Source organism: Homo sapiens, chromosome 7, assembly GCF_000001405.40.
Source record: "Homo sapiens chromosome 7, GRCh38.p14 Primary Assembly".
Taxonomy (NCBI): Eukaryota; Metazoa; Chordata; class Mammalia; order Primates; family Hominidae; genus Homo; species Homo sapiens.
This window is the reverse complement of record NC_000007.14, coordinates 151,483,879-151,506,985: the sequence shown is the minus strand read 5'-3', so window position 1 is coordinate 151,506,985 and position 23,107 is coordinate 151,483,879. Positions and strand designations below refer to the sequence as shown.

Here is a 23,107-nt window from a genome sequence, read left to right as displayed (position 1 = left end):
CTTTAAGCCCTAAGAAGTTGGCAGCTTCTGCTTTTGTGTTCTTGGGAGCCTCAAGTGATGTGCAGTAGATGTTAGGAGGAGACACAGAGAAAGGGAGAATGCCCCGCCTTCCCAGCTGTGTAGCACCACCAGCCCACCAGATAAAGGCCCCCCAAAGAGTAAACTAAAAGTGAGCCCAGCGTTGACTGTAGAACCATGAGCACATGAAATGGGTGGTGTCAGTCACTCAGCTGTGGGTAAATGAAACAGTAATTTTCTGCTTTAGGGGTATATGTATGTTTGTTATTTTGCTTGTGTTATTTTGAGGCTTTAGTTGAAATAGTTACTGTATGTCATCTTTCAGGTTAATTTATTAGATATAATTCCGAAAATACTTTTTTTATCCTAAGCGGATTATTTCTGCCTAAGAGCAGTTACTAATAGTATTACTAATATTAATAATAATGAGATTTGCTGAGCACTTGCTACATGCCAGATGTTTGGTATACATTTTCATTTAATCCTCACAAAGCACGTTATAGGATAGGTACCATTATGATGTCCATTTACAGATAAGGAAAAGGACTCAGGAAAACTGCCCAAAGTCACATAGCTAATAACCACCATCTCATACTGTTTAGTAAAAAGTAGTAAATGGGCTGGGCATGGTGACACACACCTGTAATCCCAGTGCTTTGAGAGACCAAGGTGAGAGGATCATTTGAGACCAGCAGTTTGAATACAGTGAGCTATGATCCTGCCATTGTACTCCAGCCTGGGCAACAGATAGAGACCCTGTCTCAAAAAAAAAAAAAAAAGTAAATGCATTATCTTTTAAAAAAAATCTTTTTTTCCTAAATCAAGTTTATTGAGGTGTAATTTACATATAATAAAGTATCCATTTTAAGTGTAGAGTTGGATGAGTTTTGACAGATTTATGCACCTATGTAACCTCTGCCTTTATCAAAATATGAAACATTCCGTCATCCCCACAAGTTCTCTCATGTCCCTCACGCCCTACCCCAGCTCCCCGGGAAGCACTGATCTGCTCTCCATCACTCTGGGTTAGTTTTTCTTACCCTAAAATTTCACATACATCGAATCATACAATATATACTCATTTTTGTATGTCAGTTAGCATAATGTTTTTGAGATTCATCCATGGTGTTGCATGTATAATTTCTTTTTATTGCAAAGTGGTATTCTGTTGAATGGATATACCTTAATTTGTTTATCTGATCACCCATTGGTGGATATTTGGGTTATCCCAGTATTTAACTATTAAGAATAAAGCTATTATGAGCATTTTGAGTAAATGTCTTCGTGGACACACAGTCATTTCTCTTTGGTAAATACCTAGGTGTGATATTGCTGAGTCACATATATGTTAAGTGTATACTTTAGGAGAAACTACCAAACTGTTTTTCCAAAACATTTTGACCATTTTATGCCTCCACTAGCAGCACATGAGAGCTTTGGTTGCTGCCTGCCCATCCTCCCTGATACTTGGTATTGGCGGCCTTTCTAACTTTCTAGCTATTCTCAGATGGTAGGTTGTGGTTTTATTTGAAATTTCCCACTAAGAATGGTGGACATCTTTTCATATACCTACTGGAAATTTGGATATCTTGGTTTGTGAAGTGTCTGTTCAAGTCTTTTGCCTAGATTATCAGATTCTTCTTACTGAATTATATATTCTGAATAAAAGTCCTTTTTCAGATGTGTATTTAATGAATATTTTCTCCTAGTGTGACTTTTTTGTTGTTCCTGTGTTTCAGAGAACAGAAGAAGTTTGTAAGTTTGATGAAACTCGGTTCACTTTTTCGTTTTTTTTTTTGTTTTGTTTATTTTGTATCGTGTCAGGAATCTGTCTACCTGAAGATCATAAAGTTGTTTTTTTTTTTGTTTTCACTTTTAAGCTCTGTTGGACTTGAGAAAGTTTTGTTTTTTGGGTTTTTTTTTTCATATTCTAGAAGTTTTGTAGTTTTAGCTTTTATGTTTAGGTCTCTGATCCATTTCTAGTTAGTTTTTATGTATGAGGTAAGGGTGAAGATTTTTTAAAAAACTTGAGGTCCCACACCTGTAAAAAGAAAGGAAAAATAACATTTAAAACTTTGAGAAAATTTCTTTTTTTTTTTTGAGGTAGCATTCAACAGGTTTTGGCAAGTCTGCAGTCATCTACATCCAGAATCAGGCTGTAGAACAATCCATCAACCCAAAAAGCGCCCTGTGCCTGTTTCTAGTTAGCCCCCTACCCCTTTGTGGTTTTTATCCTATAGTTTTGTCTTTATCAGGATGCCCAATAAATGGAACCATATATTATGCAGCTTTTTGCGTCTGGCTACTTAGCACAACACATTTGAGATTTATTCATGTGTACATATACCAGTATTTAATTCCTTTGTATTGCTTAATAGGACAGTTGACCCTTAATCAACACAGTTGGAACTGTGTGGGCCCACTTATAGGCAGGAATTTTTTTTTCCTCAACCAAATGCAAATGGAAAATACAGTATTCCTTGGATGCAAAGCCCACATGTATGGAGGGCCGACTTTTCATATATGCAGATTCTGCAGGGTGAAAAGCAGGGCTTCATCACACTCGGATTTTGCTATCCTCAAGCATCCTGGAACCAGTCCCCCTTGTATACCAAGGGATGCCTGTATCCCTTTGGGTGGATTTTTTCCCCCCACTTAAATTGCATGTTTTATTTCCCCCAATCCCAGCAATAGCACAGAAGCCCCATCATATCCAACCCAAACTGGTTTCGAGTAGGTTAAGGTTATAGGGACACTTGTCAGAACGTTGATACAAAGGGCTCCCAAACGCTGGGCACAAATGTGTCAGCAAACAGATGGAAGTAAACAGTGCACTGGCCCAAATGCTTCATGAGTCAGTTTGATTTTGCAATGCAGTTTGCATCCTTGAAACTGCCAGTCTGGAGGGAGACAGGGTAGCTTGAGGGAGTGAAGTTGAAATTGCCTCCTATTAGCTCACCCTTTCAACATTAAACAGACCAAGAGAGAAATGGTTCCAACATTTCACCACATCTATTTCTTATGCAGTCTAAGCTGGGAATGCCATGTAAATGGATCACTGCGAAATGCAGCAATTTAATTTTTCTCCAATCAAAATAAGAAAAAAACCAGTATGATCTCACTTCTATTAACTTTTGAAGGTTTACAGCAGTTAAAATATTTTTACTTCTGTATATGAAGGCTTAAAAAAATTTTTTTTTTTTTCATAAAATACAAGAGCAACGAATTTCACCATCGAGTAAAAGTAAAAACTGGGATTCTTGTTTAAATTAGTCCAAAGTGGCATTTAGGAACTTAGTTGTAGGCTGCTGCGCTGACACCATGACAAAACAAAGTGTGGGGTTGGGTCTGGTTTTGTTTCAGTTATCTTTTCAATAACCAGTACTCATGGATAAAGTTCTGGAAGTGTTTCAGTTGTAAGGCAGGGATCTGTTAGAATTCCACCATGGGTATGCTTCTTGGGTTGGATGCTGGAGGGTGAGGCACGTTTTGCCAGACTCATGTCTAGTCATCAAGGTCAAAAAATTCATTGTCTCCTCCTTGGTATTCCATTCCCTGGAAATCTACTCGGTACTGCAGGATACCTCCAATTCCACCAAATCCTTTCACAAACCGAGACCCGTCTTGCATTTTATCTGTGATCATTTCCAACATAGCTCCAAATTTTTTATAGTTGTTAGCAAACCATTCCAACAGGGGCATGCTCTCGATAAGCTCATGTTCCTGTCCGGTCTCTTTGTCTGTGAAATGAGATTTATCCTTTTCTTGCTTTGGAGTTAGAGAATTTTCTCCTTTTCTGTGCCTTGGCAATAAAGAACATATCTCATTATATCCAGATTTTCATAGACCATTAGAATTTCTACAGCTCCCTTTTCCAAAGTCTTTAGTGTATCTTCAACGCCAAAACAGTACTTTCGCGTGTCCTGGGTGATTTCATCAAAGTATCGTTCTATTGATTTCTTTTCTTGAATGAATTTCACTTCGGAGAGGACTTCAGTAGATAACTCAGTAGCTTGATTGAATCCATTTTCACCACCATAGGATATATCAACTAATTTTAAAACTTTCGATTGTAACCTCTGATCAAACATATCAGATTGACTTAGTTCAAAGTCAGCAGATCCAGCTAAAACTAGACCAGCCACATTCACTTTGTCCCCAGAAATAGCTGCACAGCAGTCTCTGCTACTTTCTGAACATAGTTATGTCGCTTTTCCATTTTTAAACGGGCAAAACGCCTCTACTGTGTTTCTTTGGGAGATCCACAGTGAATTTGTGCAGGACTTCTCTTGTGTTTCCTTGGAGTGTGCCAAAAAGTGCACCACTACCATCTATTACAATGAATCCAAACTTGCTGTCATCTGAAAGTAGTGCTGTAAGAGCCCCTTTATGGAATTTGTTGTCACACAATACAATGACGTATTAATTGGTTTGAAAGATTCAAAGTCAACGTTGACTTTCTTTTCCTTTCCTTCTTCTGTTACAGTTGTTCCACAGTAAACAACCAGACCATCTGGAGGTACTTTGTTATAAAGTTTGAGCCTTTGTTGTATAGATGTAATGGCTCCCAGGACTGGATGGCGGTTTACTCCTGCCTTAATGTTAGATGCAGTTCCAAACTCATCTGATAACATTTTTGCCACTGGTGAAATCTGGTCTTTGGGAGGAATGATCAGTGATATCATGCTAGTGCCATTGCTGCAGGCTGCCTCCAAGCTCCTTTTTTTTTTTTTTTTTTTGAGACAGCTCTGTCGCCCAGGCTGGAGTACAGTGGCGTGATCTTGCCTCACTGCCACATAAGCCTCCCGGGTTCACAAGATTCTTCTGCCTCAGCCTCCCAAGTAGCTGGGACTACAGGCATGTGCCACCACACCCAGCTAATTTTTGTATTTTTAGTAGAGACAGGGTTTCACCATATTGGCCAGGCAGGTCTTGAACTCCTGACCTCAGGTGATCTGCCCGCCTCGGCCTCAAAGTGCTGGGATTACAGGCGTGAGCCACGGCGCCCAGCCCGCCTCCAAGCTCTTAATGAGCTTCTTGATCTTCCAGAACTCCACGTTCCTGTCCACAGCACTGGGGTCGTCCACCATCTTCTTGCCTCCTCTTCCCTAAGGGCCCAGTTCTGGGCAGCAGCGGCTGGTAGGACACCGGCTCTTTCTGACCAGGCAACTGCATGTGTTGCAGTGCGCTCACATGGGGCCCGTGATGTCACTTCCTCCGCCAGGGGCGGAGCACAAGGCTGCGGGATGGGTTTAACATAATTTAGGACATTTGGTTTGTTTCCACTTTGGGGCAATTATGAGTAAAACCAGTATAAACATGCAAATACAGGTTTTTGTGTTGACCATAAATTTTCGTTTGTCTTCCATAAATACTTAGGAATGAGATTGCTGGGTCATATGGTAAGTGTAGGTTAAGCTTTTCAGAAGCTGCTGAACTTGCCAAATTGACTGCACCATTTTGCATTCCCACAGGCAATGGGTGAGTGTATAGGTTGCTCCACGTCCTAGCAAGCACTGGGATGGCCAATATTTTTTATTTTAGCCATTTTAATTAGGTGTGTAGCATCTCATTGTAATTTTTAATTTACATTTCCCTAATGGATAATGATGTTAAAAGCATCTTTAATGTGCTTTGCCATTTGAATATTTTCTTTGTTAAAGTGTTCAGATCTTTTGCTCACTTTCTTAATTGGATTGTTTCTTGTTGTTGAGTTATGAGAGTGAAACATATTCTGGATATGGGTCCTTTGCACATATTTTCTCCCAGTCTGTGGCCTGTCTTTTCATTCCCTTAACAAGGCTCTTAGTACAGTTTTTAATTTTGATGAAGTCCAAGATGTTATTTTTTTCTTTTATGGATTGTACTTTGGATTTTATACCTCAGAATCTTCACCCAACTCCAGGTTGCAAAGATTTTTTTCCAATGCTTCTTCTAGAAGTTTGATAGTTTTTACATTTAGGTCTATGATTTTTTTGATTTTGGAGACAGCGTCTTGTTCCGTCACCCAGGCTGGTATGCAGTGGCAGAATCACAGCTTGCTGCAGCCTCAACCTCCCAGGCTCAAATGATCCTTCCACCTCATCCTCCCCAGTAGCTGGTACCACAAGAGCACACCACCACACCTGGCTCATTTTTTGATTTTCTATAGAGATGAGATTTCGTTATGTGACCCAGGCAGGTCTTAAATCCTGGGCTCAAGCAATATGATCTATTTTGGATCCTATACATTTTTATAGGATACAAACCAAGCTTCTCTCTCTTCTGTTTTTATTTTAAAAATTTTTTGTAGAGACTGGTCTTCCTGTGTTCCCCAGGCTTGTCTCAAACTCCTGACCTCAAGCGATCTTCGCACCTTGGCTCCAAAGTGTGGAGATTACAGCCATGAGCTACTGCCGCAGCCTCTCTTTTATTTTTTCTGATATTGACATCCAGTTGTTTCAGCACCATTTGTTGAAAAAGACCGTTCTTTGTTGAAAATCAATTGATGATACATGTGTATAGATCTATTTTGGGAGTGTGCATTTTCTTCCATTAATCTGTGTCTGTCCTTATGCCAGTACCACACTGTCTTAATTACTTTAGACTCCTAGTAAGTCTTGAAACCAGGTACATACTTTGTTTCTTCTTAAGGTTTTCTTATTTTTTTCTTAGAGATTAATTTTTTCCTTTTTTTTGTTGGTTTGTAATAAGTACCTATGTTGAAGTGGACTAAAAAAAGTCCAGTTTTTATTTCTAGTCCATTTTTCAGAGTCACATTCTCATCTTCCTAATGTTTCATCTTCTCATGTCACTCTTCTGACTGGAAAACCCTTAGTGGCTTTTGAAAGTAAATCTTCAGCATGTTTTTTTAAAGACATTTTCAGGCCAGGCACAGTGGGTTCACACCCATAATCTCAGCACTTTGGGAGGACAGAATGGGCGGACCGCTTGAGCCCAGGTGTTTGAGACCAGCATGGGCAGCATGGTGGACCCTGTCTCTACAAAAAAAACTCACTGGGTGTGGTGGGGACACCCTGTAGTCCCAGCTACTTGGGAGGCTGAGACAAGAGGATCCCTTCAGCCCAGGAGTTGGAGGCTGCAGTGAGCTCTGATTGCTCTACTGCACTCCAGCCTGGGCAACCGAGGGAGACCCTGTCTCCGAAAAAAAGACACTTCCAAAGTGGAGGAGGGTGATATTTGACTTTTCTCAATTAGTAGTACCTTTCTCCCTGTTGAGACTACAGGTTCCTTGTAGGTTTCAATCAGGTATTTTATACTAACTCTTCCACAATTACACGTGGAGTAGGACTTCAGTTGGTGTTTGTGGATTCAAGGTGTTGATCATAATTTGGGAAAGGCTTGATTGAATATGGGATTGTGGTACAGAATTGAATAACTGTTTACTGAATATGTATGTGATGGGTGCCAGGTACTGTGCTTTATATCTGTGATTTCATTTAATCATTATGATGCAGAGAGATTTTGAGGCCCAGAGCGCTTAACTTCAAGACACAGCTAGGATTCACACCACAGTCATGAGTTTAAATCCTAAACCTTTACCCACTCTCCTGTTTCTTCCTTTCCTGTCCTGTCCTGCCCTTTCCTTTCCTGTCCTTTCTTTTCGTTTTTTATAGAGTTTCACTCTTGTATCCCAGGCTGGAGTGCAGTGGCACGATCTTGGCTCACTGCAACCTCTGCCTCCCAGGTTCAAGTGATTCTTGTGCCTCAGCCTCCCCAGTAATTGGGATTACAGGCTCGTGCCACCACGCCCAGCTATTTTTTTGTATTTTTAGTAGAGACTGGGTTTCACCAGCTGGTCTCAAGCTCCTGAGCTCAGTCAGTCCACCCGCCTTGGCCTCCCAAAGTGCTAGGATTACAAGCCTAAGCCACTGTGTCTGGCCTATTGTGTTTATTTTTAATGTGTTTCTCCCCATTAGAATTTATATACTGAGGAAGGGGTTTGTGTCTATTCATCAATGTATTCCCAGGCTTAGAATTGTGCCTCGCACTTAATAGCTGTTTAACAGATAGATACTTGAGTAAATGAATGAATTAATCCATAGTCAGATCTTTGAAAACTTGGGATTCAGAATGGAATGGAATGTTGCCATGCTTGGAACTGTAAAAATACAGCTGTTAGGAGGTAGAGCTGGGAGAAAGGACGACTGGAGAGTTAATCTTATTCTACAAAAGGGATTCTGTCTGTAACTGATGAAACTAGGTAGAGGTTTAAGTAAATGTGTAACCGAGCTGGAGGGAAGAAACCTAATAGCTGTTCTGCGGGAATGTCATCATTTAGTCAGTAGGGAGGTAGACATCCAGAAGTCACAGCTTGCCTCTTGCCTCTTGCCTCTGCCCAGTAGCTTTTCAGTGGTATCTTTTTAAGAGAGGGTCTCACTCTGTCACCCAGGCTGGAGTGCAGCTTTGACCTCCCGGGCTCAAGTGGTCCTCCCATCTCAGCCTCCCAAGTACCTGGGAGCATGGGCGTGCACTACCACACCCTGCTAATTTTTTTTTGTATTTTTTTTATAGAGACTGGGGGGGTCTCACTGTGTTGCCCGGGCTGGTCTTGAATTCCTAGGCCCAAGAAATCTGCCAGCCTCAGCCCAGTCTCCAAAATTGCTAGGATTACAGCTACTGTATCCTTTCAATTCAGTGGTACTCATTGAGTTCTATTCTGCAGGTTGCATTGATGTTTGATTTCTTTCATTGATGTTTCCCCTAAAGTTAGAGAGCTGCTTCTCTTCCTCTTCCTTAATTGCCTCCAGTACTTTAAACTCTATTTACCTGACCTTTTCCTTGAAGGTTCCTCAAGCCAGGACCTACGCACCTGTTGTGAGTGGTGTTATAGTTCTGCAGGGCGCACAGGTGCATCCCCATGGGCACATTTAATTTAGGTGAGTAAAATGGAGCTGTAAGTGGCTGAGATCATTTTCTGTAAGGTGCATTCATCTTCATGGTCAAGTGTGTGGCACCCAACTACTGCAGCATCCAGCAAGAGTTCCCTGTAACACTGAGAGCAAAGGGGAGCCTAATCAATATGCCCCGTTGGATTTTTAAGTATATTTAAATATTTCAGAGATACCATTATAACAAGCCACATGGAATGAAGTTAACTAAAAATGTGTTTATAACTAATTCAGGAGGAGGAAGGTTCAGAGGAGACCAGGAGGGAGTGTGGGATCTAGAGAACAAGGGGATAGAACAGCTTTTGTGGAAGGGGAGGGTGGCTAACTCTTCCTCCGGTGAAAACGTCAGACCGTGTAAGGCAGACAGGGCTACATGCCCAGCTCAGGAGCTCCAGTCACTGTGTTTGATGCATGTGCACCAAGGCTGGGACACTGGGTGAATAGAGGATAGCGGCGATCGGGACATTGCGAGTGCCGTCCTCATAGCTCAGAAGTCATAGCATGTCTTAATCATGGCCATATCCTCAGTGCCTGGCCCATAGTAGGTGTCCTTTAAGTGATTATGAACTGAGTTGCTGGTAGGAGCTGGAGGATTAGGGAACACTCTGGAGGCGATAGGTGATAATAGTTGAACTTGCTGCCTGAGGGCAGTGGTTCCTAAACATTGAACTGTGCAGCTGAATCACCTAGGGGGCTTGTTCATACTTCCATTCTGGAATTGCGCATCCAGTAGATTTGAGTGGGACTCAATAAATTACATTTGTTACAGGTTACCCTGTAGTACTAAGCTGCTGGGCCCACACTTTGAGAAAGAATTACTACTGTTGGAGGCAAGGAAGAAGCCACTCAGTATTCTAAAGCAATGGGACATGGAGGGATAGACCTTAGCTTGCTAAGGGTCACCAGCCCACATGGTTGTGGAATTTTCTGTAGCTGAGCTCAATAGGCTCACAAAGGCAGTTGATTAGATTAAGATCATAGAGGTTTGTGGCTGGGTGCGGCGGCTCATACCTGTAATCCCAGCACTTTGGGAGGCTGAGGCAGGCAGATCACAAGACCAGGGATCGAGACCATCCTGGCTAACACAGTGAAACCCCATCTCTACTAAAAATACAAAAAAAAAAAAAAAAATAGCCGAGTGTGGTGGTCGGTGCCTGTAGTCCCAGCTACTTGGGAGGCTGAGGCAGGAGAATGGTGTGAACCTGGGAGGCGGAGCTTACAATGAGCCAAAATTGCATCACTGCACTCCAGCCTGGGCAACAGAGCAAGACTCTGTCTCAAAAAAACAAAACAAAACAAAAAAACAAAAGTCATAGAGGTTTGTTGAAGGGCCCTACAGAAGGGAAATTGGAGACTTCTTACAAAAGAGTAGTGGAAGATTTGTCTTGGGGCTTATACTGTATAGGGAAGAAAGAAACCTGGTGGAGATTGGAGATTCAAGGTCATGGTTTAGTATATTTCTAACCTTTTCGTCTGTAGCCACCTTAGTAAGAAACACATTTTACATTGTGACCCAGTAATAAATGTATGTATAACTGAGATAGAAGGTTCATAACACCTTTCTTGTTTGCAGTCCATGCTGGGATTCCTATTTCTTAAAAAAAAAAATAGTATGGGTCATGGCTCAGTATATTGACTTCATGAATAGTTAGGCCACACCACTGATTTGAAAGCATTGCTGGTAGAGATGGTTTGGATTAGATGATGAGAATCAGAAAGGGAGACCACTGGGGAATACTGTGTATTGATTGATAGGTGGGAAGAAGGGCAGGTGCCAGAGGAACAGCAGTCTGGGTGGTGACCAGGCACTTCTTGGTGTGCTCAGGAGGTGGGTTGCTGAAGTTGCATGGAGAGGATTACTGGTGCAAAGGCCAGTGGGCTTTCAGGCCCACTGTTAGCTTGTGTCCATGGTCATCAAAGCCCCTTAAAGTTATGTTGTGAATTTGAGGTGGTGAAAGCAGCCCTGGAATGGGTTGTGTCCTAGATGCATTACATCGGTTCTAATGGACTCCCCCTTCTGCAGAATGCCTTGATAGACTAGTTAATAGATTGAAAATCTGGTCTTCCCCATCATATCCCAATGAACAAGCAATGTATAAACTGGGAAAATGCTGGGCTTGTAGGGAGTCGGTGGGAGGGGGGACAGACCGTGGCTGGAGTGCAGTGGCACGCTCAACGCACACTGCAGCCTCAACCCTTCGGCTCAAGCGATCCTCCTACATCAGCTTCTTGAGTAACTGAGACTATATGCACACATCACCACACTCAGCTAATTTTTATATTTTTTTTGTAGAGATAGGGTTTTATCACGTTGTCCAGGCTGGTCTCAAACTCCTGGGGTCAAGCAATCCACCGGCCTCAGCCTCCCAGAGTGCTGGGATTACAGGCATGAGCCACCACACCGGGCTAATAAGTTATTTTTTAGGAGAATAAGCATGATAACAAAGTCAATATTAATCTGAAAACTTAAAATAATTCTGTAAACAGTGCCTATTTTGCAGTAATCATGAGGTATAAGATTGAGTCAACACCCCTGAAAGTACACCTTCTGTAGTGAAAATACCAGCTGAGAAACTCACTGTGCCATTTTATCATTGGAAAAAATAATACAATGCTGTTCCCTGATAAAAGCTCAGAAGAATTTTTTAAAATAATTTTTATTTTTAAAAGTTAAGGTGGGTTTTGGTTTGGAGGAAGAGTATTTGACAGTTAATTGTAGGAATTGAGATACTGCCTTTTAAACCATTTATAGTAATTTATGTCATTAAATGAGTGATTTGTGTTTGAGGATAAACACACATCTGAGTATGGGCTACTTTTCCATTTATTTGGGATCACTCCTGTGTAGTTTTCATGTAACATTTTTCCAAAGAGTTGATCTGGAGTGTGAGATTATCTTCAGCAAGCGAGTAACAGTGTTTCCAGACCTGAATTTGCTAAGGACAAAAGCCAAAGTAAATATATGAAGTTATTGAGAGAAAAAGGTTAAAGGTGATCACAGTAGAGATCACCAATGCCTTTTTGTGGTTGCAAACAAACTAGAAAAACCTAACCAAAAGATCTGAACTACGTCTCCAGAAGACACTCCTTAAAGCCAGAAATTACAACTGGAACTGAGAACACTTGAAAATGAGCGGTGGGGTTTATTTATGAAGATTCATTAGCATTTAATGCTGACTTGTCAAGATTTCAACACTAGTTAATAATAGCACTTTTTAATGGAAATGGCAAAAAACAGCATGTTAGCAAATATAGCCTTCCTATCCCTTCTGGATTAGTTAAATAATTAATGACCTCACCTTGGCGGGAGAGCCCCAGGGAGGAGAGACCCAAGGGAAACGTAGTTTTTCTCCAGTGCCACTTCTGCTAATGAACAGTACCTTTCTCCTAGGGCCAGTCTGATTGAAAATCCAGTTTCCACCCTGGAGGAATACGTTTTAAATTCTGGTATCCCAGTTTACTATTCATGAAAACAACAGTTGGCTGTCAACCTGCGATGTGATTTTGGTTAGACTACATTGTCTGTTACCGGAATGATTACTTATGTTTTCAAGTGAAATGTTAATTTAGCCTGTCAAATAGTGTATGCCCATTGTGATACAAATAAGGAGCTCTTCTCTCACTCCGTTTTTGCACTTGATCTCATGCTGTCTTGTTTAATGTGTGTAACTTTCTTTTCTGTTCAAATGTGGCTTCCTGAATTTCACGGGAAACTCCTGAGGCTCTTTTCCCCCGTCCCTTCACTCCCGCAAGTCAGGTTGTCGAGACTTGGCCAGTGCCAGTTCAGAGGACTGTCTGATCCAGGGGTTCCTGGTTGCCCAGTGCTTGGGGAGCTTATCCCATGTATCATACTTAGCCCCTCTTTCACTATTTTTAGTCCAGTTCTACTACACAAAATGTTGCAAAAATCTTTTTAATTATATTATTTCCTTTTTTCTTTGTAACTCTTGCCCATATCTTTAGGGAGAAAATGATCGCTTTCTTTCCTTTCTTTCCATTTGTAAGCAAAACAAAAACCCCACAAACCCTTATCCTACCCACATAAGGGTATAAAAAGCCCACTGGAGTCCTTAGAAGTACCTTGCAAAAGCCCTTAAGAAGTTTGTTCCCTTCTTTCTTTCTAATTAAATTTCATTTCTTTAAGCAGTAGCATTCAGTGTAAATAACAGTTTGTTTTTTTTTTACTCCTTCTAATTTTTCAGTTTCAATAACATGAGAGGAGTTTTCTTCTTGCTATTTTTGTTACCTGAAGTAGTTCTGCTGTATTTTGAGTTAAATTCTCCTTTACAGGCTAGCATATATAACATGGTTTCTTTTCAACACAATTCATTTTAAATTTGTGGAATTCTTAAACTATTGTATTCCTATATCACAGGCAAGCCTGTGATTAGGTACCAATAAATACTAATTGAATTGTTTCTTAATTTCTGTTGAACTGTGTTTTGTATTTCATTTGTATAAAATTGAGATCTTTTGTAGTATCTAAATGGCTAAGAGTGACCTTTGGAGATCTACGCTTTAATTTCGTTCATTTGTTCAGAAATCTCAATGTTTACAATGTGTCGGCTGGCCCTGTGCTGGCTTCAGTGGAGTGTTCACTAAATGAATATCATTCCAAATAACTTAATAAAACAGTAGCTATGAGAATGACTTTTAAGGAATGGGTACTACCTTAGGGTGGTCTTGAAGGTTTCTCTGTGAAACTAACATTTGAGCTCAGATCAGAATGACAAAGATGAGTCATATATTCAGAGATGGGGGCAGTGGGGGTTGCTAGAGTAAAGGGGCCAAGGCAGGCAGGAACTCCAGGAGCAGAAGGGATGTGACTGGAGCCTCAGGATGGGTTGTCGGGGGCTGTTGGCGGATGAGGTCAGAGTGGTAACCAGAGCAGGGATGGCCTGGTGTTTGTGGGCCACGGTTAGAAGCTGGGAATTTAGGGCAGGCGCGGTGGCTCACGCCTGTCATCCCAGCACTTTGGGAGGCCGAGGCGGGTGGATCATGAGGTCAGGAGTTCGAGACCAGCCTGACCAATGTGGTGAAACCCTGTCTCTACTAAAAATACAAAAAAAATTAGTCAGGTGTGGTGGCGCGTGCCTGTAATCCCAGCTACTCAGGAGGGCTGAGGCAGGAGAATCGCCTCAACCCGGGAGGCAGAGGTTGCAGTGAGCCAAGATTGCACCACTGCACTCCAGCCTGGGTGACACAGCAAGACTCCGTCTCAAAAAAAAAAAAAAAAAATGTTGAGAATTTATTCTAATTGCAATGAGGATTGGAAGCAGAGAAGTAGCGTTTAATTTTCAAATGCTCATGTAGGTTGCTTTGTAGAGAATAATTTCAGGTATTAGTAATTCTAGAGACATTTTGAACTGTATTGGGCTGCGGATAAGGAGTAAATAGGTCTACCAACTTGTGGCCTTTCCTTCTCAGCAACCCCTACTTTTTTTCTTTTTTTTTTTTTATAAGACAGAGTCTCACTCTGTTGCCCAGAGTGGAGTGCAGTGGCGCCATCTCAGCTCACTGCAACCTCCGCCTCCTGGGTTCAAACTATCCTCCTGCCTCAGCCTCCTGAGTAGCTGGGATCGCAGGTGCCCATCACCACGCTTGGGTAACTTTTTTTGTATTTTTAGTAGAGACAGGACCAACCATGTTGGCCAGGCTGGTCTCGAACTCCAGACCTCAGGTGATCCACCCGCTTCAGCCTCCCAAAGTGCTGGAATTACAAGCATGAGCCACCACACCCGGCCAGCAACCACTACTTTTAAGCCAACTTTTTAATAATTTAAATTTTAAGGAATGCCTTTGGTGTGAAAACATTGTGCAACTATACCTATCCATAGTTTGGAGGAGAAACAAGCATAAATTAAACCCAGTAGTGTAAGATGGGTGTTACCATGCCTCTCCTTCACTCTCACTGCACGTCCTGTTGTGATGGAGTTAAGTATGCCAGGCATATACAGCATGTGTGTAATAATGCTCCAAGGATGCAAGAGAGAAGGAAGGGTTTGGAGGTGAAATTAGGGAGAGACCACTTCCTCATTCCTGGTGATAAAGTCATCTGAACTATGCATCTCATGCGATTTCTTCACAGGGCATGTACCCTGTTCTAAAGTCCTCCAGTAGACATTTTAGGTAGCAGAAGAGTGAGAAGCTAAGGCTCTAGTTGTTGATTTATTAACATACAAGTTCAATTATTGGCGATTTTGTGAAATCCATAACATTTCTTAATTTCTAGATACTGCTAGGCCTTTCATACTGAATGACATAGGATTTCTAGCTTCAAAGGAGTTTTTAAGATAAAGACTTATGTTACATATTTTCAGATTACCCTTTTTTTTTTTTTGACACAGGGTCTTGCTCTGTCGCCCAGGCTTGAGTGCAGTGGTGCAATCTTGGCCCACTGCAGCCTCTGCCTCCTGGGGGCAAGCAATTCTATTATCTCAGCCTCCCAAGTAGCTGGGATTACAGGTGCCCGCCACCACACCCAGCTAATTTTTGTTAATTTTAGTAGAGACGGGATTTCGCCATGTTGGCCAGGCTGGTCTCAAACTCCTGACCTCAGGTGATCCGTCTGCCTCAGCCTCCCAAAGTGCTGGGATTACAGGCGTGAGCCATGGTGCCTGGCCGGATTACTCTTTTTAAAAGCTGTACTTGGTAACACTTCTAACCGTCATATATGAATGAATACAACGAAACTAATCATTTTAATTTTCATATTAAAATTAAATAGCAAGATTCCAAGAATACTAGAGGAAATTAGCTTACTTTAAACCTTTTAGATTATCTTTAACAGAATATCTGATGTGCTTGTTGGTCAGTAATATTTGTTAATGTCACAGACATGTTTACTTTGTAATAGCTTAATTGCATAATATCCTCATATAAAGCAAATTAATGAAATTTATTTCATTTTTTGAAATTGCTCACATGCTAATTAAATGAATGTTTTCTGACCCTGATACCTTCAGTGTCTTCATCTATTAATGGTTTTTTAATAAAACAGCAAAATTAAAAATTTTTACCTTCATATGCCAACACACACTAAGCTCTTGTTCTCTTTTATAGGGAAATCCTCATTGACGATTCAATTTGTTGAAGGCCAATTTGTGGACTCCTACGATCCAACCATAGAAAACAGTAAGTATTGTTTTCAAGTACTTAAAAACTGAGAAGCCTTCTTTTGTGTAAAATAGCCATTGTGTATTCATGGAGGCTTTGAGTGCAGGAGGTAAATTCTGTGTGTCTCCCAATTGGGGTCAAAGAAAACTTGCAAAAGATTTACCTACTTTACCCTGAAAGATTTTTCCTTCCATGTCTGCATCCCCTGCCATCTAGAAATTATTAATTCAAGTCAGTAGGAGTCTGGCCCATTACTGGAATCTTCAAATTCCAGAATCTGCTCCAAAACAGGAATGGAGAGCACAGTCTTCTCCCCCACACCCCCTTTCTCCCAGCCATTGCAGTTTCCAGGGATTCCAAGCTTGAAAGAATGAAAAACACTCGAGATCCCTGTTCCTTATTCTTACAGAAGCCGTACTCCCACCCACATTTCTCTATACCCTTCTTTCCAGCCCTAAAGATTTGAAAGAGAAATGAACTATTCTGGGATTGGATAGAGCAGTTGCAGCATTAAAAAGAAGTTGGCTCAAAAAGCCTGTTGACATTTTAGGCCATGTGCAGAAAAAAGCAGGGAAGACAGAACCAGCCATGACCTTTACTTTGTTCAATTTTAATCCATGGTTTCAGAATATTCCTGATGGATTCTAGGACCATGAGACTATTTATTTATTTTATTTTATTTTTTAAAGAGACATGAGTCTCACAGTGTTACCCAGGCTGGACTCAATATCCTGGACTCAAGTGATCCTCTTTCCTCAGCCTCCCAGGTGGCTGGAACTACAGGCATACAACACTGTGCCCAGCTTTGAGACAGATCTTGATTCTAGGGATCGCCAAGGATAATCTGAAGCAGGGAAGCTGGTCTTTTCAGGCTTAGAACCCCAGGTGGGCCCTGGAACTAGGTTTCTCAGATTCTTGAGACCAGGACTTATCTAGGATTTGTCACCAGGAACATGTAGATTTAAACATGGGATTCATCAACACCTGATTGGCATATTAGACACGAAGCATATTTCACCGGCCGGAGGCTTGCAAGAGAATCACTTGAATGCTTTGGCTGACAGTAAAGAGCTTGGCAAACGACAGCCTGCAGGCCAGCAAGGCCCATTTCCTGTCTTTATACAGACCAAGAGCTAAGAAAGGTTTTTCCATTTAAGCATAATATATAAAAGTCCAAAGAAGAATAATGTCTGGCATGTGAAAATTATATGAAATTCAAATGTTAACCTCTATAAAGTTTTATTGATACACAGCCATGCTTGTTCCTTTACATGTTGTCCTTTACATGCTGTACAATGGCAGAGTTGTTGAATAGTAAGAGCAGAGACCAGGTGGCCTACAAAGCCTAAAATATTTACTGGTACTGTCTGGCCCTTTACAGAAAAAGTTTGCTCACCCCTCGCTTAAAATATTTGGCTGTCCTTTGTGTTCCAGTGTGCTGGTAGCAGAGAAGGAAACCTGTTGGTTGATAAACTAACTCCAGGAATATTTTTGAAAGTAACCTTTCAAGATGTTATATTTGAAAGTAACCTCTGGGTATCTACAGGGAGGAGTCCTGATTACATCCTATGATTTGTCTAGCTGGTCATTATATAATAGTAAGCAAGTGTGAGGAGCAGATTAATGTGAGTGCTGGATGAACAAGCTCGGTTTTCTGTCCACTGGAATAAGAACATAAGAAAATCATCATCTTGGACCTTAATATTTGCTATACAAAGCAATTTAGGATTTTAGATCCTTGAAATAATAAGGTTCATTTTGGAATTGTATTAACAGAACAATAGAAGATTGTTTTCTTCGTAAGCTCTGCCTCTAAAAGTGGATATTGTGGCTGTATCCTCATGCCATTTCATACTGAGCTGGAATTAGCTGGGCGTGATGGTGTGTGCCTGTAGTCTCAGCTGAGACAGGCGGATCACTTGAACCCAGGAGTTTGAGGCTGCAGTGATCTGTAATCATGTCACTGTACTCCAGCCTGGGCAGCAGAGCAAGATGTGGTCTCAAAAGTAAAAACTGAGTTGGAAGGAAAGTCATGGAGTTGTGTATCATGGAGCTATATATACATACATTTTCTTAGTAAGTAATGGATCAGAAGAAAGTCCAACTTATGTAACTTGATGTTATCTCAGAAACAGAGTAATATGACCCTACTTTTTTGAGGCTATCAACATCATCTTTGGTCATATTTTAAATTTTTTCTCATCTTACAGTTCAATAATGAAGACTTCTTTACCTCAAAAATGAATTCAGAGTACTTGTTTATTAAAGTCTGTAGGCAGGAGCAGAAATAAATATGAATATGTATCCATTAAAAGTTCGTGAGGCATGTTCAGACATTATATTCTACTTACCACACTTCTGATAACCTAACACAGGGCAGGAGCCCTTCGCCCACCCTTTCCTCCACTGTTTGGTAGAAAAACATTGTTCAGTGATAACAATGAATTAGAAAGAAAAGAAAAGGTTATCATGAACTTGTTGCTAGCAAGATAAATAAGTGGGTGGTTTCATGATTTTAAAAAACTGCTCTGTAGATCTGGAAATAATTTAGTAGTTATTTTACACTTTATAATATTAGAACAAGCTGTTATAGCAAACACTCAGTGGTGACACATTTCAGTGAAGTGTCATGGTGAGCAAAAATTCTGGGACTGTGTCATCTTTAACAGTAGGGGTGTAGGAGAATAATATTAATAAAACCACATATTTTCTAGTTTGGGGAAATTTTAAAGCAGAAGTACTACTTATGCAAGTGTACTTCATTATCTACTGTAGTGTTAATCTAACAACTCAATACAAACTAAATTGATAGGCTGAAATTAAGCTAGTGGTAGTTTATAACTAAAAAGCAAGCATAGCAGCAATTTCCGACTTCTGCCATCTCAAGGTAGCACTGTTAGTGAATGACAAAGCGCCTTCCAGAAAGTTGGGAGGTTGCACTTAGGTGTTGCAGCATTCTCAAGGCACTGCGTCCTGGGTGTGGACTTCTCAGTAGGGTATGAATGAAGAGCCCTCACCACACTTTAGTAACACAAATCTTGCTTTGTGAACACCAAATTTTGGAAACCTCTATGACCGTGGTTAGTAGCATTTACTAGTAAATAGCTATTAGTCTACTTAGGAGAATTTCAGGGGTTTAGGTTGGAAATGGATTCTCTGGTGATTCAAAGAGGCAGGGAGAAAGGGGCTCAAGGAGAGTGATGTCAGAAGAAAGCCAGCTTTCCACTTTGACATGAGGTTAAAATGAGAGACAGTAGAATTATTTCCGAGTCTATCCTATCTCTTATTATACCTCCCTTTTTTCTATAGTAAAAAACTGGCAGTTTTCCTATGACAGCAAGATGGAAGGTCTTTTTCATTTTACTGCTACAAGTAGGACAAGTTACATTCTTTTTACATGCAAAGATAGATGCAAATGTTTATTTTTTTTTTTTTCTTTTATACACTATGTACAATGACATCTCAGTCTTCTTGGCCGAATCTTCTGCATTTTTTTGACTTGGCAACATGGGGTGCCCTGGTTCAGGCCTTTCCTCTGCACTTGCTCTCAAGTAATCTTCCCCTCTCTTCAATTTGCTATTGACTCACCAGTGTGTATTCTCAGCCGCAACCTCTCCCCCCAGCTCTGGGCTTTATTTTATAATTTATTTTATTCTACATGACAAGGTCTTTCACTCTGTCCTTCAGGCAGGAGTGCAGTGGCATGATCATAGCTCACTGTAACCTTGAATACCTGGGCTTAAAATGATCTTTCCTCAGCCTCACAAGTAGCTAGGACTACAGGCGTGAGCCACCACGCTGGAGCAGTTTTTCCATTTTTGTGGAGATTGGGTCTCCCTGTGTTGCCCAGGGTGGTCTTGAACTCCAGGCCTCAAGCAGTCCTCCTGCCTGGGCCTCCCAAAGTGGGATTACAGGCATAAGCCACTACATCCTGGGCTTTTTTATTTAACTGCCTGCATTTCCCCTTGGTATTTAATAGGCATCCCAAAACATCCCTAAAACCCAACTCATTTCCCTTCCTCTCCTATCCCTAGTATTCTTCCCCTAGTCTTTCCTGTAAGTGGCAACTTACAGAAGCTTTGGAGTCATCCTGACTCTTCATTTTCTTACATCCCACTTCCAGTCAATCAGAAAATCCTTTTGGTTCTGCCTCTGAAATATTTCCAGAATATCTCCACCTCTAATCCAGGCCAGTGTCACCCTCTATAGATTGTGATAGTCTGTACAGTCATGTGGTCACTGTATCATGGGCTCCTGCCTAATATCCCTGGGACCATTTTTGTTACTTACAGCGTAGCCAGAGTGATCTTTCCTTGGTTTCTCCTCACATTCAGAGTAAAAATCCCAAGTTCTGTAGGACCTTCTGCCTCCTGTCCATCCTAGTTAGCTATCTACCGTTCTCTCTGAGCTTTAGCTGCATTGACTTTTTTGCTTTTTTCACTTGCTGTTTAACCTCTGCCTGGGTGTTCCACTCCCAGGGAAGATACCCGACAGGGTGGGAGGGTACATGTGTGTGTCTATACCTTCTTTCCTTCCCTGGGATCTAAGCTCACTGAGTATCAGAGACTACAGCATCCCAAGCACCCACAACAGTGCTACTGGTGATAATAGGCACTCAAGAAATTGTTCTTGAATGAATGAATGAATGAATGATGTTTCCTTTCAGTAACCTTGTCATCATAATTATACTTGATAACTGCAGTTACTTAGTTCTAATTGAAGGTCACTGGTTTTATTGCTCACCAGTGTTTCTTACATACTTCTCATCAAATCTGAAATACACTTCAATCTCACGTGACTGAAGGTTTTCACACAGCTATGTAGTGACTGCACCCTGGCTGACAAGGACTGAAACCTCCAGCGGTGCAGGATGCATCCCAAGTTCAGAGAGAATAAGGTGTAAAAACAAATCTGAATTCTTTCTTAGAATTGATGAAATAGGTTATATTGGGTATCCCCCCAGCTTGAAATATTCCGATTCAGTTTCCATCTGATTTAACTGTTTCCTAAAAGTGATAACTTCCGGAACAGGTACAAGCATAATATAGTGTGGCCATTGATTTCATGCTGTGGTCTGTTATCTTTACTCACCTGACTTTTGGCCCCCCTGCTTGTATTAGAAAAGTGTGACGCTAATATGGTTCTCTGTGATGATTGCTTGTCTTTCAGCCATCATTTCTTTCCCTGTGGAACTCATATAACTCAGATAAGATCTCTGATCAATCCTCCTTATTACTTAGAGTTTTCTCACATAATTTCCATTTGTCTGTGTCAGCTTTGCCTTTCTGCTGTGGGTAGAGTGGGACCTCTCTCAGTTGTATGAGGGATAGATTCTGCTGCCTGGCTCTAGTCATATAGGACGGCCAATCAGGAGATTGGAGGACTCATGGTGAGTCAAGATGGCTGGGGCGGGTATGCAAGATAAATCTGTTCCACTTCCTTGTCAGAGTTCCAGGTGGTTATTTTTACATTGTTTCTGTTAGTAGTTCTTTCCTCTTTTGTCTATATTTGTTTGAAGTCTGTCTCCCTCTAATTCTGAATTGACTTTTCCGGAAGTTATTCAAGTCTGATTTTCTTTCCTCCCTTGTCAGGGAAAAGAAGTTGTGACAAATTGCTTGGATCCTTAAGCTTAAGTGGGAAGGATGGCTTCAACACAGAACATCTGTTTCATTGCTGTTTTATCCGTCAGTAAAACTGTTACTTCTTTTATGTACTAAAAGTTCTTAGCACTTAACTAATATTAGCTCTTTGTGCTCTGATGCCAGACTTCCTATAAATTAATGGAAAATTTTTGTGGTTTTGGTTTATTCTAGACCTCAGACTTTACGTAGTATATTTCACTTTTTCACAAGAGGAAGGATTTGCCACACAGCATTCAAATTACTATTATAGGATATGAATTGTTGCGTACTTTGTCTCTTTGAAAAAGAATCAAGGTTTACCAAGCTTGATTTTAGCCAGTCACCGTATTTCCTAGCTAAATAATGGAAGTAGGGGAGAATCTATACAAGTCAGAGAGTTGTTCTTTTTTGTTTCATGGGGCCTTTCTCTGAGACTGCTAGGGACTCTGTGCTTGATTGGTTGTCATTGTTCAAACTTCAGGTGGTTTCGAGTTAATTTTTTTAAACTAATGTTTAATTTCCTTTTTCCCTGTAGCTTTTACAAAGTTGATCACAGTAAATGGACAAGAATATCATCTTCAACTTGTAGACACAGCCGGGCAAGTAAGTGACCTCTGGTATCTCAGAATCTTATACAGCATATCTGACAGTCTTGGTCCTAGCACTGATTTTTAAAAGTACCAGCTATGCCAAGAAAACCCCTCAGGTTGTGTGCAGACAGTCCCTGACTCCCAATGGTTTGGCTTGCAGTGGCTCGACTTAACAATTTCTCATCTTTACGATGGGTCTATTGAGGTATTTGATACATTTTCAACTCATGATATTTTTGGTTTACAGTAGGTTTATCACGATGTAACCCCATCATAAGTCAAGGAGCTTACACAGATAACTAAATGTTAGTATGCTGTCTACTTGGTCTTTTCTAAGACATTTCTGGCAGTTATCTTTTAATAACTTGTTTTTCTGCTTTAGAATTGCTTTAAATATATTAACATTGTAAGGGTTAATACTTATTACAGGATAGTGGTTTTCTATTTTCTAAACTTTAATTCTATATTAGAGAGTCATATTAGTTGCTTTCTTTCTCTTTGTGATATGTGTTCTCCTACATTAGGGCAAAAGTACATCTTTTCTAGAGGAAAGGCATAAGAGGGGCATAGGGCAGAAATTAGCTGATTTAATCTTATGAGGACCTGGGCCATAAAATACCAGTTTGACTGGAGTCCAGGCTCTGGTTTGAGTGTTGGCTTTAGTTTATATAGTAGAGTCTCTGGGTGGGTGGATTTGAGAGTGATTACTAGATTAGGGAGTTTCAATTTATTTGATAGACAGTAGATAATGGCCAAAAGTCAAATAATCCCCCCAGAAAGGATATTCACATGTCGGTTAATGTAGCAGGGATGTGTGGAATGGATCACCAGGGAATTGGCTGGAAGCAAGGGGGAAAGGAGTACATGAAAC

General features: G+C 40.9%; 1 protein-coding gene and 1 pseudogene across 4 annotated transcripts in view, besides 1 other annotated feature; one reads left to right on the top strand and one right to left on the bottom strand.

Moving 5' to 3' along the window:
• The window catches only part of RHEB (Ras homolog, mTORC1 binding), a 53,884-nt gene that overhangs the window by 12,910 nt on the left and 17,867 nt on the right, over positions 1 to 23,107 (top strand). For 2 of the 4 annotated variants that reach the window (XM_011516457.3, XM_024446854.2), the window contains exons 2-4: positions 8,806 to 8,897; positions 15,972 to 16,043; positions 22,182 to 22,249. In XM_011516457.3, coding sequence (XP_011514759.1) covers positions 8,879 to 8,897; positions 15,972 to 16,043; positions 22,182 to 22,249 — 159 coding nt within the window. In that variant the 5' untranslated portion in view covers positions 8,806 to 8,878. Of the gene's footprint in view, positions 1 to 8,532; positions 8,640 to 8,805; positions 8,898 to 15,971; positions 16,044 to 22,181; positions 22,250 to 23,107 lie in introns of those variants that run through there. The other 2 variants (XM_047420685.1, NM_005614.4) reach the window with 2 other exon arrangements.
• Positions 2,659 to 5,224, bottom strand: ETF1P2 (eukaryotic translation termination factor 1 pseudogene 2; annotated as a pseudogene).
• Positions 15,808 to 16,348: an enhancer, noted in NCBI's record as "NANOG hESC enhancer chr7:151187724-151188264 (GRCh37/hg19 assembly coordinates)". NCBI's record gives its function as "activates a minimal SCP1, AML or CMV promoter by ChIP-STARR-seq in naive H9 embryonic stem cells {active_cell/tissue: H9 hESC(naive)}" and the evidence as "EXISTENCE:reporter gene assay evidence [ECO:0000049][PMID:30033119]".